This window comes from Homo sapiens, chromosome 15, assembly GCF_000001405.40.
Source record: "Homo sapiens chromosome 15, GRCh38.p14 Primary Assembly".
In the NCBI taxonomy this organism is placed as follows: domain Eukaryota; kingdom Metazoa; phylum Chordata; class Mammalia; order Primates; family Hominidae; genus Homo; species Homo sapiens.
The window spans coordinates 99567488-99586400 of record NC_000015.10 but is presented as its reverse complement, the minus strand read 5'-3'; the positions used below and the strand labels follow the sequence as shown (position 1 = coordinate 99586400).

At 36.0% G+C, this 18913-nt stretch overlaps 1 protein-coding gene across 78 annotated transcripts in view, besides 2 other annotated features; it reads right to left on the bottom strand.

Moving 5' to 3' along the window:
* MEF2A (myocyte enhancer factor 2A) overlaps nucleotides 1–18913 on the bottom strand; it is a 151072-nt gene that overhangs the window by 130088 nt on the left and 2071 nt on the right. For 5 of the 78 annotated variants that reach the window (NM_001400049.1, NM_001400031.1, NM_001400066.1 and 2 more), the window contains exon 2: nucleotides 17422–17460. The exons of the other annotated variants lie outside the window; for them this stretch is intronic. The gene's annotated coding sequence lies outside the window, so the exon portion shown is untranslated. The remainder of the gene's footprint in view (nucleotides 1–17421; nucleotides 17461–18913) is intronic. 78 annotated transcript variants of the gene reach the window in all.
* Nucleotides 6273–6773: an enhancer, noted in NCBI's record as "H3K27ac hESC enhancer chr15:100119833-100120333 (GRCh37/hg19 assembly coordinates)". NCBI's record gives its function as "activates a minimal SCP1, AML or CMV promoter by ChIP-STARR-seq in naive H9 embryonic stem cells {active_cell/tissue: H9 hESC(naive)}" and the evidence as "EXISTENCE:reporter gene assay evidence [ECO:0000049][PMID:30033119]".
* Nucleotides 6774–7274: an enhancer, noted in NCBI's record as "H3K27ac hESC enhancer chr15:100119332-100119832 (GRCh37/hg19 assembly coordinates)". NCBI's record gives its function as "activates a minimal SCP1, AML or CMV promoter by ChIP-STARR-seq in naive H9 embryonic stem cells {active_cell/tissue: H9 hESC(naive)}" and the evidence as "EXISTENCE:reporter gene assay evidence [ECO:0000049][PMID:30033119]".

The window sequence follows — 18913 nt, the reverse complement described above, 5'->3', positions numbered from 1 at the left end:
ATATGGATATACAAGTAAATATCCACTAAAATGTCTCAACTTAAAAAGGCTCACAATGCAAAGTGTTGGTGAAGATATGGAGAAACTGGAACTCTCATTTACTACTGATGGGACTGTAAAATCATACAACTACTTTGGAAAACAGTTGCACAGTTTCTTATGAAATAAAAGATACATATACCATGTGACCCAGAAATCCCACTCTTTGGTATAATATTCACCCAAGAAAAATGAAAGCATATGTCCATACAAAGGCATGTACTCAAATCTTCATAGCAACTTTATTCATAATACTACCAAAAGTCCATGAAAGGCAAACAGCAAAATTGTAGTTTAAACATAAAAGGAACACTAGTCAACAGAAAAATGGAACAAACTACTGACAGATACAAACACAGATGAATCACGAAAACATTTTGCTGAGGGACAAAAGCCAGACACTAGAGAATACCTATTGCATGATTCCATTTAGGAAAAAAACCTACAAATTTTTAAGATACCACCGAAGAACACAAAAAGATCCACAATTCATACATTATGAAAGCCACTCCTCAACACTGGAAAGCTATAATTTAAAAGATTTTTGTGATTTCACAAAGTTAACACCAAGAACAATCAGCATTACTGTTTGAGTCTGTTTCCTCATCTATAAATGGTGTAATATCTATACCTCGTAAGTTCAGTTGTGAGAATTAAGTAAGCATGTAATGTGCTCAGCACAGTGACTGGCATACACTAAAAACTCCTTAAGTACCAAGTATTTACTGTGGTACACACGACTAATTTCTTAATGACATTCTTATTGAAAAGTCGTCACTGCGTCCAAGACATCAGAAAGGCAAATATTACAGTAAAAGCCAAATTAGAAGTTTTGGAATATATTTAGAATCATTAAATAGCTGAATACTATAATTTTTTAAAAAAACTAATAAGGTCTTAAAAGAACAGATTTATTTCAAAACATATAAATAGATACTAATTCACAGGAAACAATATCTTTAAGTCAGTAAAATTTCACACAAGCAAGCATTTAAGGAAGAAAGTGATTATACACACTCACGAAACGAGATTGTTCCAATTACAGGAGGTAAAAAAGAAAAATGACACAAACTTGAATAGGGATGAACAAACAGCAAAGGAGGGTGTAGGATAGACAGATGGGCAGAACACAATTTTGTATAACCTTAACCCTGAAAATAGGAAAGCATCTGAATTTAATATTAAAAAATACAGATAAGAGAATGGTAAGATTAATCCTGTCAACTAGAATAAAGCACAATTCCAGCCCAAGTGCTAGGTAGGTTAAAAAGATAGGTTTTTATACAATCTCCACTAAAACACAACTTATTACATTCTTAGCTAGTGGATGGAGAAGGTAGCATTTGTGTGACAATGTGATAACACAGTAATGCCAAGAAATACCCATTATCCCCCCCATGCCCTTCCACCTCCATCTACATCCACTCAACTACCCAAAGGCCCAAAACATCTGTTCAAACAGCTTCCGTTCTTTTCTGAAAAAATAAAAAAGAAAGTAGCTTTATTGAGATATAATTTACATACAATTCACCCATTTAAAGCATACACTTGAATGTTTTGATACCCTCAGGTATGTGCAACCCTCACCACTATCTAATTCCATAACATTTTCATCACCCTTTAAAAGAACCCCAGTACTAATTAGGACTCACTCCCCATTCCCTATGCCTACCCCAGCCCCCTATGGCTCAGTCTCAGGCAGTGGGACACCTACTTTCTGTCTCTATACATTTGCCTATTCCAGAAATTTCATACAAATGGAATTACACAATATGTGGTCTTTTGTGGCTGGCTTCTTTCACTTAACATGTTTTCAAGATTCATCCCTGTTGCAGCACATATCTACACTTCATTCCTTTTTATTGCTGAATAATATTCCCTTGTGTGGAAATACAACCTATTATGTATTCTTTCATCAACTGATGGTCATTTGGGTGATTTCAACTTTTTACCTATTATGACTAATGCTGCTATGAGCATTTGTACACAAGTTTTCACATGAATCTATGTGTTCATTTCTAGCTTCTGTTCTTACAATAAAAAACCTAAGAGTGTCTTCAGATTTTCTGTATCACTGCCTTGGGGTATCTAACATCTTCTCCATAGTGATCCACATATTGGCTGACATTCCCCAGTCATTGCATAGCAACATTTCAGTCAGTAATGAACCACATAAATGACGGTGGTCACATAAGATTATAATGGAGCTGTGCTATATTAAGTCTACCATTTTTTATCTTTTATACCATATTTTTACTGTACCCTTTCCACGTTTAGATATGTTTAGATACACGAATACGCACTACTATGTTACAAATGCCTACACTATTCAGCAGAGTAACATGCTGTAAAGGTTTGTAGACTAGGAGCAATAGGCTATACCAAATATAGCCTAGGTGTGTAGTAGACTGTGCCATCTAAGTTTGTGTAAATACTGTGCACTCTATGATGTTCACAAAGTAACAAAATTGGCTAATGATGCATTTCTCAGAACATATCCCTGTCATTAAGTGACTCATGACTGTACCTATTGTATTTTCCCAAATAAGTTATCACTACTACCACCTCAAATCTATAATCAGTAACCATACTGAAAGTTTCCACATTAAACTTAATATTAGCCTGTAATAAATATTAAGGCTAATATTTATTAATACATATTATCAATTACAAATTCATTAGAATTTTAATTCTTCAGATTGAGGATGTGACTTCCCAAATGCTAAGTTTCTATTTGCCCTACTCTTCAGTATCATGGTACAAGCTAATATTCCCAGTATTCCTTCTCAGGCATATGGTGACTGGAATCCATCACTTTTACAGTCCTCAACCACCCAAACACCTGTAACAAGAAGCACACACAAACACAAACTTTAAAAATAGGAACACTTTAAAATGTAATCTTTTGTACTTCACATAATGGCCAAATATGCATGACTTTGGTTAAACAATCTAGTAAAGTGTCGAAGTCTATCAAACAGGTTTCCATATTAATAAGGCTTTTAACCAGAATGTAGAAAAAGTTTGGATGCTCTATTCATGATATTCACCAACTTCCTAAAGTTCTGAACTGGAAGAAGCCTCAGAGGACATTTGAGGAATGCAAACTCTAAAGCTCAGAGAAATGAAATAGAATCCAGCAGTATAATACCAACTACCAATCTAATCTATATCGAAATAGGGTTCTATCTATTTAAAACGAACAAAAAGCACCTGAACTAACGGAAAATAAAAATTCCAAAAGGTCTTAAAGCTAACTTGACAGATGAACATAACAACTTGGGAGTTCTCTTACAAGTAACGTGACACTCCTAAAGTATTAGTTTGAATCTTAAAAGAAAAATGAGTTTATTTCAGACTATCCTCATAACATCCCCTTTGCTTACACTATGATATCCCTTCTTCCGTGGAAGAGAACTGGGGTGATTTATAGCTACTGCCCTAAGAATTGCACATTACCTAGTAACTGTTCTATCTACAACATATCCCAGGATAGTTGTGGCAATTATAAATTACTGTAATACTAGACCTCTCTGCTATAAAAGTCAAGGGAGTGCATCATGCATGTCAAAATTTTACCTACTGTATCTCACAGAAGAAAAAGGCTGACAACTACTTATCTAGACCAGCAGAGCTACAGAGATGACTTTAAAGCCATATGTCGAAAGCTCAGCTCAGTCCAAATGCTAGATGAATAGCGACTTTGCAAAGCGTAAAATCCTGAGTCATTTGTAAGACAGCAATGTAAAGGATTCATTTACATACCACATTTTCACTGAGATGCTACATCAAGAGAATACAAGAAGAAATAAGACAAGCAGAAAAGCCTTCAATGCAGTGTGTATACATCTATTACCTTAGTATAAGGTCAAATATGAAAAATACAGTAAGGCAGAAAAAATACTATCGGATTTTAAAAGAGAAAAACTACTAATGAGAAGGAATCCAGTTTTCAAGGACAGCACAGTCTGGCCTGGGAAAGGAAATCAAGAAGAAAGCGGGATACAAGGAAGAATGACGAAAGGACAATCTTTACCCCCATCTTCCACTCGAAAGCTGTGTATTCCTACCAATTCCCTTCAAACAATCAAAGAATGAGCCTATCACTATGCTTTCTAAAAAAGTATCTTCAGCATTATTCTTTAAGGCACCAAGCTTTATTAATCATTATTAATGTTAATAATAAGAAAGGACATATACATTATCTTCATTATCTTATATGGGCATATTAAAGAAGGCTTTGGTCACTTCCACGATTACAAACTGTCAATGGCTCTTTTTTTTCTTTTACCTGAAGAACAAAATTTAAACTGTTGAACATTCCAGCGGCATTAAAAACTGGTCTCGAGCTCTCTTTCCCACTTTACCATCTCTTTTTCTGAAAAACCCTCCAATCTAGCCAAACTGTGTCCAACAAGCAGCTCTTCTTTTTCTGTTTTGGCTCTTTTGCTCAAACTGTTCTATGTGGTGTATTTTTTCCACAACTCTGACAATAAAACTTGATATCCAGTTCAAATGTCAATCCTTCCGTGAAGCATTCCCTGAACACCTCCAAACTCTTCCTCTCCTGAACTCCCTAATCCATTATCATGTGTAAGATTTACACATCACTTAGTAATTAATGGGATTTTACCCTGCCTAAACCATTACCTCCTAGAAGCAAAGAGCTATATCTTATATATGTTTCCATTTCAGAATCAACAATATAGAAATAATCACTAAAACAGTGAGAAACAGATAAGGGACAGAGTCCAAAAGAGGAAGGGTTTGGGGGAAGCAGAACCTAGGCCATTGTATGGGGATGATCCATATTCACCAGTTGAAAGAAAAACACGGGAGGTCAATAAAAAGAAAGAGTTTTGGCAAATGATCACTCAAATGAGGAAATGAAGGTATAATGAGTCTGAGAAGTCATTAAGACTTGTGGAAACTATGAAAAAAAAAAAAGAAAGCTCATAAATGAAGTCCCAATGACAGACACATGGGCATAGAGACCGACTGCCTCTAAACATTTGAAAGCCATGTGGATAACTCCAAAGCTGTGTCATTAATAGCAAAAGATTTTAATTTATATTATGATGGAATTCTGATGTTAAAAGCCAATATGCCCTTTAATTCTGGTTGATATTTTTACAAAAAGAAATGTATAATGACTAATGAAGTTAAGTCTATTTCTTACTCCAACAGAAAATACTGACAGACTACTTACTAACTCTAAGGAAAGAAATGTTCACAAGTAATAAATATTTTAAGCAACTAATTTATAGAGGAAAACCAAGCATAAAGAACTTCTACACAATTCCAACTTTATGTTAAATCTCTCATGTTAAAAAAATAGATAAAAGGCATAAAAGAGAACTAATTAAGCTACCTAACAGATTTAGTGCCATCTTACTAAACACAATAACAAGTGTAGAGTCAAGGAATAACATCATACCTACCATTTATTGGAAGAAAGGAACAACTGTCAAAACCATAAAATAAAACCAAGAAAACCAAAAGTAGAATAAATATATAAAGAGGTAATGAAGTTTAATTTTCAAAAAGCTAACATCTACCAAACCAATTCACAAGTTTAGAAGTTACCTTTTCAGAAAACATCTTATGTTAGATTGACATTGGAATAAAAAGTACCAAAGGAGGCCCTTGGTCAAATACAGGCCTATAACTCCTTCATATAATAAAACCAAGCCATTTCCTATTTATATTATAGACACAAACCTCTGAATAACCTTGCTTTTCAGAAAAAGCAGTAAGACTTGCAATAACCCAGAACCAGTATTTGCAAGTTATCAGAATGAAGTAAGGGCATTTAAATGTAGTTTATTTCTCCTCCTCCACAATACCTTCCGGAGACTCTAGCTTACCAGTGGAAGTTGACTGCCTATGTCTTTTCATAACTAAAAGCTTTATTAGCACGGGCAGGATAAGTCAATGGGTTTTCCTCACCCCTCTCAAAGTAAAGACTTGCCACAGTGGTGCAAGTGTATCTATGCACTCAAATACTATCCCTAAACCATGTGAAAAAACAAGAAAGGAAAAGGAAATTCTATTCCAAACCACACAGCACAGCCTGAAGACAAAGAATGTTGACAATGCAAAACTGTGAGGGGGGCGGGGGAAGTCACCAAATCCCAGCCATTGATCCCTCAAACTGTCATTCACCCCAACTCTTTGACTGATCCCCCAAACTCTCATCCATCCGAAACCCCAAAGCTTTGTGGCAAGAGGCTAGCAATGGGACCTAAGGATCATCTGGAAAGATCATCAGAAATATTAAACCCACCCTAAAATCTGAAAATAGTGGAGAAGTGTCTGGAGAGATTAGAACACAGACTACAGGGAAGGAATTTCAAAATTCTCTTGATTTAAAGGGCCACATAAAGAGGCGCACCGAAACACACAGCTTCTGGCAGCAGGCAAAAATGGGCAAAAGGGAGAGGAAACTGTTCTTCAGTAACTGTAAGGTAAAAGGAAAAAGAAAAGGGAATAGTTAAGGTCCTACAAGACCTTAAAAGACTCATAAAATTGCAAGTCCCACAACTCTTCTCCAACCATTGAAACAAATGAAAATCACTGAAGTAACAGGACTACTCTATACTGACAAAAGAGGGAATCAATAAACTAGGAATACTATAAAACACTCAATACTATAAAAATGAACAAGGCTGGGCACAGTGACTCACGCCTGTAATCCCAGCACTTTGGGAGGTTGAGGCAAGTGGATCACTTGAGGCCGGGAGTCCGAGACCAGGCTGGCCAACATGGCAAAACCCCGTCTCTACTAAAAATACAAAAAATTAGCCAGGCATGGTGGCACGTGCCTGTAATCCCAGCTACTTGGGAGGCTGAAGCACAAGAATCGCTTGAAACTGGGAGGCAGAGGTTGCACTGAGCTGAGATCACGCCACTGCATTCCAGCCTGGGTGACAGAGTGAGACTCTGTCTCAAAAAAAAGGACAAAAGAAAAATAAAGTCCAGAAAATTAAGAAAGAGAATGTGGTACATATCCAGCAAGGAACCCTGCCCCACCCTCCACTGACCGAAAAAAAAAACCCTAAAGCAGAAAAAAAAACTATAAGCCAATACTCTAAACAGAATTAAATACATTCAAACAAGCATTTGATGATATGAAAACTACCGTGAATCAGAAATCTAAAAACTAAATGGACAAAATACAAAGAGCAATTTAAAAGGTGGCTAAATTCAGACAAGAAATGGGAAAAAATACAACATTAGTACAGAAATGAAGACTAAATTGCAAGGCACCCAAGAAAGAAGTGATTCAAATGAAAATGAGCTACCACAGGTCATGTGTTATGAGCCCCATCTATCCACATCTGGTGTTAGGTTTCATCTGACAACTCTCCTTCCACCATTTCACAGTAACTCAAAAGCCACACACCTTAGGACACTCACATAAGCAAACTTCATGCCTTTTTCATGGTAAAGTAACACATTTATCATGTACTTATATATTCCTTAATGATTTAACATGTCTAAAACCATGCCACTGTTTTAATCAGGTTTAAGTTCCAATCCTTTCTTTTACTGTGTCAGTGATAAAGTTTTTGAATGCTATTTCTCTAACTTCATTGATCACACGAACCCTGTGGCTTTCATTGCATGATTATGCATACATAGTGATTTTGGGGAATAAATATGCTGCGTTATAGCAGAATTGACTGTGGATGTGAGTAAATGTGTGGGTTCGTATACACACGTATTTCTTAGCTCTGTCTGCTGAGAAGGAAAAAGACTCCCCAGTAGCAATGAGCGGCAGTCCTAGTACCCAGATCTCGGTTTCTAAATGCTATCCCCCAAAACAAGGAGCCAGGGCTTTGTGGGAAAGAAGATGATTACAGGGTTGGAGCTGGTAAAATGCAAGATGAGCCTGAAGTTTCTCAGAAACTTTTCAGTACCAGAAAGTGAAGAAGAGCTTTCAAGCTGAAGGGAGAATGTAAAAAGGACAAGGAACCAACCGGACAGAGCTCTCAATGCCAAAGCAGAACGATCTGAGCAGTAACATAAGCAACAGCATCAGATTGCAACCTAGAAAATAAAAACCTCTAAGTCCATACTGATATAAATGAATGAATAAATAAACGAGGGAGAAGGGACACTTCTTCACTGAAGAATTTTAATAAATGAGAAAGGAACAAGGAAATCACAAAATCACCATGAGGTTAATACTACAGTAGTAGGTATCACAGATAAGTTCCAGCAATGAATGCTGAAGTGAATGGATGAAAGTTGGAAGAAAAAACAGAAATTAGCATAATCTCAAAGTATCTCCCCCAAAATATTTATCAACTACACTATGACTTTACAGAGGAGAGATCAGCAGATATTACCTTAATTAAGTGAACAAGATTAACGTCATTAGTAATAAGACAGTGACATCCTGTAGCCCCTGATATAAACATACCTCCTGATATGATACCATTACTTCGGTATATTGCCAAAAATGTATAATCCCACATTAATCATAAGAAAGCATCAGAGAAACCCAAATTGAAAGACATTCTACAAAGTAACGACCAGTACTCTTCAAAAAAGCATCAAGATCATAAAGACAACAAAAAAAATGAGTTAATATCACAGATTTCAGGAGACTAAAGAAACACAACAAATAAATGCAATGTGGGATTATGGATTGAAACTTAGAACTTAGAACAGATAAACACCATTAGAAGAAAAACTGATTAAATTCAAAAGAAGGTTTTCATAGTGAAAAGGTAAACAGTATCATACCAGTATTACTTTCCTGGTTTTGGCATTTACATTATGGTTATATAGCTGTCCAACATTAAAGCTTATTTTCCTGGCATTCCTGAAACTAGGTTAATTACCCTTGCAGATGTGTACTCTGCATCGTACACATCTATTACACATCAAAATCAAGCACAAATCGTCTATGTCCATACTCCCCCCTGACCGTGAAAGCCAAGCCTTGCAGCACCTAGCCCAGTGGACTGAATAAAGTAATGAAGTTACCAGTTGTTACCAGTTATTTCAAACTGTGAAATAAATCTTTATGTTTCTTCTAGAATAATAGTTATTAAAAACAAAATATATAAGCCAAAGTAACACAATAGTTACAAAGAATTTGAACTCAATAACTCCTGGATCAGAAGCATAATATTCCTTCCACTATGCTTTATAGCACTTAATTTCACTTTCATAAACAATTTAACATTAATTACATATACAGTGTGTAACACAGAGTTAAAAAGGATCTAGCTATCATATCATTGTATAATTAAAGTGATGCCCAGAAAGGTTATTTTACTTGCTAATGAACGAAACAGTATAACAGCAACGCCAACATTAGGCATTTTGATGTTCATTAATTATATACTTTAATTTCAGGAATTAGGCTTTTAAAATTTTTAAGTTAAAAACTAAAGTTTATGGCCAGGCGTGGTGGCTCACGCCTGTAATCCCAGCACTTTGGGAGGCCGAGGTGGGTGGATCATGAGGTCAGGAGATCAAGACCATCCTAGCTAACAGGGTGAAACCCCGTCTCTACTAAAAAATACAAAGAAAAAAAATTAGCCGGGCGCGGTGGCAGGCGCCTGTAGTCCCAGCTACTCAGGAGGCTGAGGCAGGAGAATGGCGTGAACCTGGGAGGCGGAGCTTGCAGTGAGCCAAGATTGCGCCACTGTACTCCAGCCTGGGTGACAGAGTAAGATTCCGTCTCAAAAAAAAAAAAACAAAAAAACTAAAGTTTATGTTTCTTCTAGAATAACAGTTATTAAAAACAAAATATATAAAATCAACACTTCACTTAAAAGAAAGGTTTCCACAAAATTAACTAAAATATTATAACAAATACAGGAATAGTTCATTATCATATGAAAGTAATAAAAATAATGTTGGGTCATTATTATAATTATAAACAACAACCTTGTTCGAGACAAATCAACCACGCTCAAGACACTATGAACATACTCACTGAGTAAGTAAAAGATATAAAACAGGATTCACACTCCTGTTTTAAAATGTTTTGGAAAACAAGACCCAACCACTGTAGAATTATTAAGAATTCGGTGAAAGTAGTTATTTAAATTGTTAACACTTTCAAAGAAAACAGTTTCTCCTAGGAGTTTTGGGACTATAAAGATAAATTACAAACTACTGCCCGAGGAATCAGCATAAATTCAAAATTTCTCAGGTTAATAAGCCAAAAGGCTCTAAAACAATGAAACTCCAATATCAATAGCATACCTGCTGCCTGGTTTCTGGTTTCTAAATACTCTTACCCAATAAAGGAAAACTTGAAATAATGTAATGACTGATTCCAGGACAACAGCAGGAGATGACCATAAGATGAGCCTGGAATATCTTACTGGTCCCGAATGCAAGAAAGTGCTCAACAAATGATGGGGGCATGTTAAAACAACCAATGAGTTAATGTGAAGAAGTTTCCACTAACCAAATGTGGGTTAATTTGGAACATCAAAATGAATACTGGCAGGTAATAGAAAACAACCTACTTAATAAAAAAGAATCCATTATATCATATTGATATCAAAATGAATAGGACAAGGTCTTCTTTAAAACAGACTAGAATGCCCACTAATAAATGGAGAGGGAACGATGGTTAGAAAAACACTATTTTGCAATTCTGTGTAGTAAGTGATTCAGGCAAGAGTAATCAATGAATGCTAAAACCATTCTGTAAGCGTTTGGAGGAGGAAATTTTCAGTCTCCAAGTGTCTCCAACAGATTATTCAGTAATAACAAAGGGGACTATGATACCTTTTGTAATAGAGAAAACTAGCAGGTAAAACCTTAACTAAGTGGTCCAAATAAACATCAACAACATGGTCAAAATGACACCGTACTGCCTCATGATGTGATGCACTGAGGATATACCATCACTTACATGGGATTTTTGCCAAAAATGCAAAACCTGAATCTAATTACAAAGAAGCACCTGGACAAATCCAAACTGATGGACATCCTACAAAACAAAGGGTCTGTACTCTACAAAACCCAAAAATTAAAAAGGCTGAAGAACTGTTTCAGATTAAACAATACAAGGGATATAATTAAAATGCATTGTATAATATTGGAATGGGAAAAATATTAAAGGATATTATTGACACTATGGGAAAAATTTCAACATGAACTGTACATTAAACAATAAGATCAATATTAAATTTCTTGAATCCCCCATACTAATGTAAGAATATGCCCTTATTAGGAGATATCAGTTGAAGTATTTAGGGGTAAGGGAACTTGATGTGTGCAACCTCCTCTCAAATGGTTCAACAATAAAAATAATTTTAATAGGAAGAGAACAAAAAAGAGAAAAAAAGGAGATGAGGAAAAAGATCTACACAGTGGATTCTTGATATTATATAACAATGCCTGATATGTTAATGATAATAACATGTCAGGTTTCCTTGTTAGAAATGTACACAGTGCATTAACATAGCATTTCCATCTATCCCTGTATATAACCTGAATTTAATCATACCTGTGATGTTTTGCCACTGACTTTAACTAAATAAACTTGCATCTTTGACATATTCTAGACCAGAGGTCCCCACCCCGGGGCCATAGATCAGTACCAGTCCATGGCCTGTTAGGAATGGGGCCACACAGCAAGAGATGAGCGGCATGCCAGTGAGTGAACCTTCATCTGTATTTACAGCCGCTCCCCGTCGCTTGCATTACCACCTGAGCTCCACCTCCTGTCAGATCAACGGCAACACTTAATTATCACAGAAGCACAAACCCCACTGTGAACCACACATGCAAAGGATCTAGGTTGTGCACTCCTTATGAGAATCTAATGCCTGATGAGATCATCAGTCACTGTCTCCCATCACCCCAAGATGGGACCCTCTAGTAGCAGGAAAACAAGCTCTGGGCTCCCACTGATTCTACATTATGGTGAGTTGTATAAGTATTTCATCACATATTACAATGTAATAATAATGGAAAATAAAGTGTACAATAAATGTAATGTGCTTGAATCATTTTGAAACCATCCCCTCCCCCCACCATTCATGGAAAAATTGTCTTCCACGAAACTGGTCCCTGGTGCCAAAAAGGCTGGTAATAGCTGCTCTAGGCAGAAGATGTAATCAAGGAGTTTCAATCTGTAAATAAAATAATAATCTCTGTTTCCAGACTTTGTACCCACTCTGCAAATATAAAAAGAGAGCAAGAACGACAAAGCAAATGTGGTACATGGTAACAACTGGTGAATCTGCGGCAGATATAAATGGGAGTTCATTGTACTATTCTTGTAACTTTTCTCTAGGTTTGATTTTTTTCCGAAATAAATTTAAAAAAAAAAATCTGTCAACCCTAAAACTGTACTTTGTGGAAATTAAGCCATTTCTGAAAGAAAACAAAAACAAAACCTTAACTCCTAGATTCTTCTCTCCCTTTCTCTTCGTAATCCATACCATCAATTAGGTTTAACACCATTAATAAAAAGGTTTTCAGTATCAAAATAAACATTTTGCCAAAGGAATCCCCAATTTACAAATGGGATATGTTCCAAAAGCCTATTTGTAAGTCAGCTATTTAGAATGGGGAATGACTTTCACTATTACAAATGGTGACTGGGTTCCTAATGTTGGCTACAAAAGTTCTTTGATGTATTTTCATTAGCAATACAGCTGAATTAGTAATGTATTTCATGTATACTGTGTTAATTTCCATAAGGTTCCCCCCTCAACTTGGAGCTTTTCTATAAACATATGAAATTAGTTGGATAAGCTAGAGGGAAGTAATAGGGCCAGAAGGGATGTTGGTTAGTAATGAACAACAGAGATATGCATTTCAAACTGGAAATACTTCCCTCAGACAAGATGGCTACTCAGTGCCCAGCAAGAAAGCAAAATAGAATCTGAGGAAATGCCCCTTGTGCTCCACAGCTCTCAAATTCCTGCCCTTAGAATAATGACCGTATGTTAATAGAAAACACATAAAGTAAGATTATAATTTGGAAAGTACCTTTATGATTTTTAAAGTGTGATTTGGGAAAACTGGTCTGTGGTTGGTTATTTCCGTTGATTAGGACAACTTCTTTTTTTTTTTTTTTTTTTTTGAGACGGAGTCTCGCTGTTGCCCAGGCTGGAGTGCAGTGGCGCGATCTTGGCTCACTGCAGGCTCCGCCTCCCAGGGTTCACGCCATTCTCCTGCCTCAGCCTCCCGCATAGCTGGGACTACTGGTGCCCACCACCACGCCCGGCTAATTTTTTGTATTTTTAGTAGAGATGGGGTTTCACTGTGTTAGCCAGGATGGTCTCGATCTCCTGACCTCGTGAATCGCCCGCCTCGGCCTCCCAAAGTGCTGGGATTACAGGCGTGAGCCACCGCGCCCGGCCGATTAGGACAACTTCTACTCAATTCAACATTTACTGAGAATTCACTATATCTACTATAATAGGTTGGTTGGTAGATACTGAGCACACAAAAGAGCCAGCTGGTCCTTGACATAGCAATTCAGCCTAATAGAAGACAGTGACATCAATTATATTCAAATAATCAAATAATATTCTAAATACCTAACATGGGATTTACTCTACAAATAGTGCATGTATCATGGGCTTTAGAAGCACACAAGAGCAAGAGCAAAAAACTTTTGTCTAGGAGATTAAAACTGGTATCACAGATGACATCTGAGCTAAGACTTAAAGGATAAGTAGTTCAATAACTATAACTATGTGTGCAAGACAGCATTCCAATCATTGGCAAAAAACAGGAACAAAGATACAGAAGCATCAAATATTTACTATCTTCCAAATGCCAGGCGGCATGCTAATGCCTGGGGATACAGCTAAGAGTAAGATGAACAAGGCCTCTGCCTTTATGGAGTTTACATTCAGGTAATGGACAAATACCATAAATAAGCAATAACTAAACAAACCAGGTATACACAAATTACAATTGTCTTGAAGGAAATAATCTGTGTAAGAGAGTAAAATGACAGACTGCAATATTAAATAGGATGGTCAGATTAGGCCTCTGAGTGAGAAGTGAGATTTGGGCCAAACTCCAAAGTGTTTAGCCAAGCCAGACATTTGAAGAATATCCCAAGGAGGGAGTACAGAAAGTGCAAAAGGCCCTAGAAGAAAAAAGGGTGCAGAGGGTTTAAGAAACACTGAGAGGCCTTCGTGGCTGACATGTGATGAATGAGGGGAAGAATGATGAGAAGGAGAAAGCTCATTCAGGGCCATTTAGGCCACAGAATGGAGGACTTGATTTTGAGAGGAATGGGAAGTCACCAGAAGATTTTAAGCAGAGAAATGATATGATCCAATATAGGCTCTTAAAATAATTCTCAGGCTGCTGTGTGAAGAAAAAAAAAAAAAAAAAAACTTCTATGGAGCAAGAAGAAAAAGAAGCAGCCCACTTAGAAAATTACTGCAGTACTTCATGCAAGAGAATGATGGCTTCAAATAAAGAGGTGGCAACGAAGACTAAGAGCAGTGGACTGCTCAAGGCAAATTGTGAAGGTGCAACAGGACGTGGGGATGGATTGGACTTAAGAGAAATGGAAAGAATCAAGAATAATATCTTAAGTTTTTGGCTTGGGTACTGCCATTTATGGATATGGGGAATGCCAGCAGAGACACCAGGGTTTAGGGGTAGGAAGAAGGTTGGGGGAAGAGGGAAAAATAGCTATATTTTACCCACATCATTTATATTATACTTGAGATTCCAACTAGACTTCCAAGTGAATATCAAACTCAAGAGAAGTCTGGGCTGGGAAAATAAAAGTAGTAGTCATCAGTATGAAAACATATGGCCTTTTCAGATTAGCGCTAATAGCTGGCTTTGACTAGGGCATAGAAACTGAAAGGTGATGGCTGAAAATGAGCCTCAAAAGACACGATGGAATCATATTATAAAGTGAGCCATGACTAACAGCAATAGCAGTAGTAGTAACGATAGTAATGGTAGGAGGAAAATTAATGCAGGTTATATACCAGGCACTGCACTTTATAATACACACCTCATTTAATCCTCTCAAAAACTGTATGAAATAATGTTATAATTACTATTTTATACACTAAGCCTCAAAAATCATAAGAACTTGCTGAAGAACACAAAGTGCAAGTAACTAAATAAGAACACAGTAAGAACAGTGGGTATTTTAACTTAGGATGGGAAGTCTGTTGTTGTTGTTGTTGTTTTTTTTTTTTTGGAGATGGAGTCTCATTCTATCACCCAGGCTGGAGTGCAGTGGCACGATCTCGGCTCACTGCAACCTCTGCCTCCTGGGTTCAAGCGATTCTCGTGCCTAAGCCTCCAGAGTGGCGGGATAACAGGTGTGAGCCACTATGCCCGGCTAATTTTTGTATTTTTAGTGGAAACGGGGTTTCACCACGTTGGCCAGGTTGGTCTCAAACTCCCGACCTCAGGTGATCTGCCCGCCTCCACCTCCCAAAGTTCTGGAATTACAGGCATGAGCCACCGCGCCCAGCCAGGAAGTCTGATTTTACAGGCCAATCTTCTATCCCTTACATTACTGCCACTCTATTGATCTCATACGCCTTCAAAAGTTGTTTTTTTTTTTTTCTTTAAGAAGAAATGACATATAGATCTGAATTTTAGAAATATAATTCCAATTTCTATGTAGAAGATGGACAGCTAAGGATGAGGACGAGAGGTGAAACAGGCAAATATAGTATTAGTCAATGCAAGAGCCGCTTGTTTTATTAAGCCCAAAAGTTACAATTTCTTTTACCAGGTCGAATGGGAAGCAGCCCTTTGTTCCAAGTGTCACAAATCATGCCTCAAATGAATCCACGTCAACCTGCACATGCATGCTGCTGGTCACGCAAGTAACAAAGTAAAAATGTCCAGCTCATGCAGTATAAACTTACTGACCACTACTGAAAACCTTTCTCAAGCATATAATTTTAATAATGGTGAGAATTTTTTTAAGTCCATATATTAAAGGTTTTTGTTTTGTTTTTGCTTTGTTTCCTTTTTATGTTTTCATGTTTTCTTGTTTATTTTGTTTTTGAAGTTTGTATTTTTGTGTAAGGAAGTAAAATTAGTATTAATTCAAGACAACCATAAAAAGACATGCCCGGGTTGGTATTTACTAGAAGTTTGATTAATTAATATGTTTTTCACCCATGTTTGTTCCTCTGGCTTTTATCAACATCACTTGTTAAAATAATGATGAAGTAAATTACCTGCCTTCATACACCAATGTTTAAATATGGTATTCCACCTCACAAAGGAGCTAATATTTTTAACTCATATGCTTATGATTTCATCTCGACTAAGATAATTAATAATTAAAATATTAAATTCAGTAAATATCAATTAAATTCTGTAAATATAAATATTATTAAAGTATAAAGCATCTATATAAAAATTTAGTACTTATTAAATAAGTACCAACCTATATCGTGTGCTATGTGTAAGATTTACTAATTAACAAATGGATTTACACTCTTAATTATAATAAACTGGACACAAGGTCCATTTATTATAAGGCACACAGATAAACTATACACGAGAAAATCATTAATTTCACACCAAATCAAAGTATTTTAAAAATTACAGATTAACTAAAGTTACTTTAAAATATTAAAATAACCTTCAATATTAAAATATTTAAAAACTTTTCTTCAGAAATTAAGCTATTTTAAAATACCTATTCAAGGTAGATTACAGAAGTATTCTTCTAACTTTAAATTTCAAATACTATATCTTAGAGACCACTCCCACAGTCAATCCCTAAAAGACAGAATTCACTGAAGATTGGGAAACTATTTATATTTAACTTGAATCTTTAGAAAAATATTTGGGGAGATTATGGAGATTAGAAACAAACTATGGTTGAAGATCAAAATTCTAATGTTTTAAAACAGCCAATTAAGCGTTTTATGTATAATCTGACAATGAATTTAAGATGCTGGGATATTTTATCCAAAACAAACACATTAAGCATTCTCTATTGATACATTATACGAAATCCTTTTGGTCACAAACACTAAACGTATGGGTACTGGGCAGGGTACCTACATAATCTTCAGAGGAAAGAAGAAACAAAAGCCAGAAGGGATGCAGGGAGATCAGGCAATACGCATTTTCGCACATGAAGCTTCACGCAGTGTGTTAGAACTTTTACACTCGCTATCTCATTTAATTCCAACACGGGGCAGGTAGTGTAATTCTATCTCATTTTACAGGAGATATCTCAACTCTGTCAGCAGTGGAGCTGGATCTGAATCAAGATCTGACTACAGAGTCAAGCAGCCTTCCTTTACTGGGGCTTGCAAATCAGCATATGTTAAAAGCATTCTCTTGCACGAGGTTATCCAGCTTAAAGGGTGATCTGATTTCCATATTTACACTTATTATTTAAACATTAGGAGAGAAGGCACTCACTTCTCCATTTACTAAGAATCCACAGATTTTCTTTCTTATCTAGAAAAAAGAAATAGTGATCATTTTTGGTCCACAAATGGTTTTCTCATAGTGTCATCGCATAAAAGAAAACTTCAGCTAGACTTTGAAACATTCATATGTACCATGAGTAACCGGGGTATGGTCTGATGACAACACAGAATATGTGAAATTAGAAATGCCCCCAAATCCAGGCCCATCATCATCGTATATTACACTACATTCTTCTTGCCAGACTAAAAGCAGCAAAGGGAGGAAAAAAGATGGTTTTCCAAACTGACAAGCATGCTATTTTTCAGTAACAAATTTGTTCATGGCTTCTTCCTCCTAAATCAGAACACAAATCTACTGAAAAGATTTAGCTAGACTATTTCAAACTCCAAAATCATATTCTAATAAACATTTCCATAATTTCTTAACCACCCTCAGAATATAATTCAATATTCCTCTTTTTGGTAGCCAATTAATGGATGACACTGCTATTGCTGGAATATTAATAAAATTAATATTAACCCACAATGCATGATGGAAAAGGCAAATTGTAACGAAATTGCTTTGAAAAACATAACATCACCATTTGAAACAACTCAACCTTTTTAAGAGATTATTTCCAACTGCATTTACAAAAAAAAATCCTTGTCACACATACCCATATGAAAACAAACTCTAAGAATACAGAAGGAAATTATTCTCAAACCATAATTCAACATGGTGACATTACAATTATTTCTGGGTGTCAATAAGCTATTTTCCTTCCACTGAACACCCCCCAGAATTTAATTTTTTAAAAAACTTTTGAAGGCAAGTAAAGTGTAATTTTAACACTTTTGTTCTAATATGAAATCAAACCACAATTTTATATATAACCATAGTGTGAATTAAAGGAAATAGGTAAGCAAATAATTGCGTTTAGAGAGGTCACCATTACTTCACAGTCACTGTTTTCACTAAGTAGCTACTGGAACCACACTCTTCAACAAAACTGTTAATCTAGAGTCTACAAACATTCAAATCACCAGTTTTAGCTCTTCAGAGTACTTTTGATTATTGTAACACCATTATCACAACTTTTTGCAACAATGCTCACTGAGAATTAAAATAAAGGTGATTCTATTGTCAATGTGTCACCATATATAACAAATACTGATCTTAATGTTTTATGATATACAGGTGTGTGTTTATGACATTTAATATAAACTAATCTAAATCAGCATCTGCTTTAGTGAAAACTCTTGATTCCCTAAAACAAAAGTTGTAATTTACAGAAAAAGAAATGGAGACTGAGCTCTCCAAAAATACACACACACACACACACACACACACACACACACACAGTACATACAAAAGCCATAAAGGCACAATGCAGTCATTTTTATCCTCACTTCCTAAATTCATATTAAAAGAAATGTCATTTTTGTATGTTTAAAAAAGAACTATTTTGTTTACCTTTTCCACAGACTGTTCAAGAACTGCC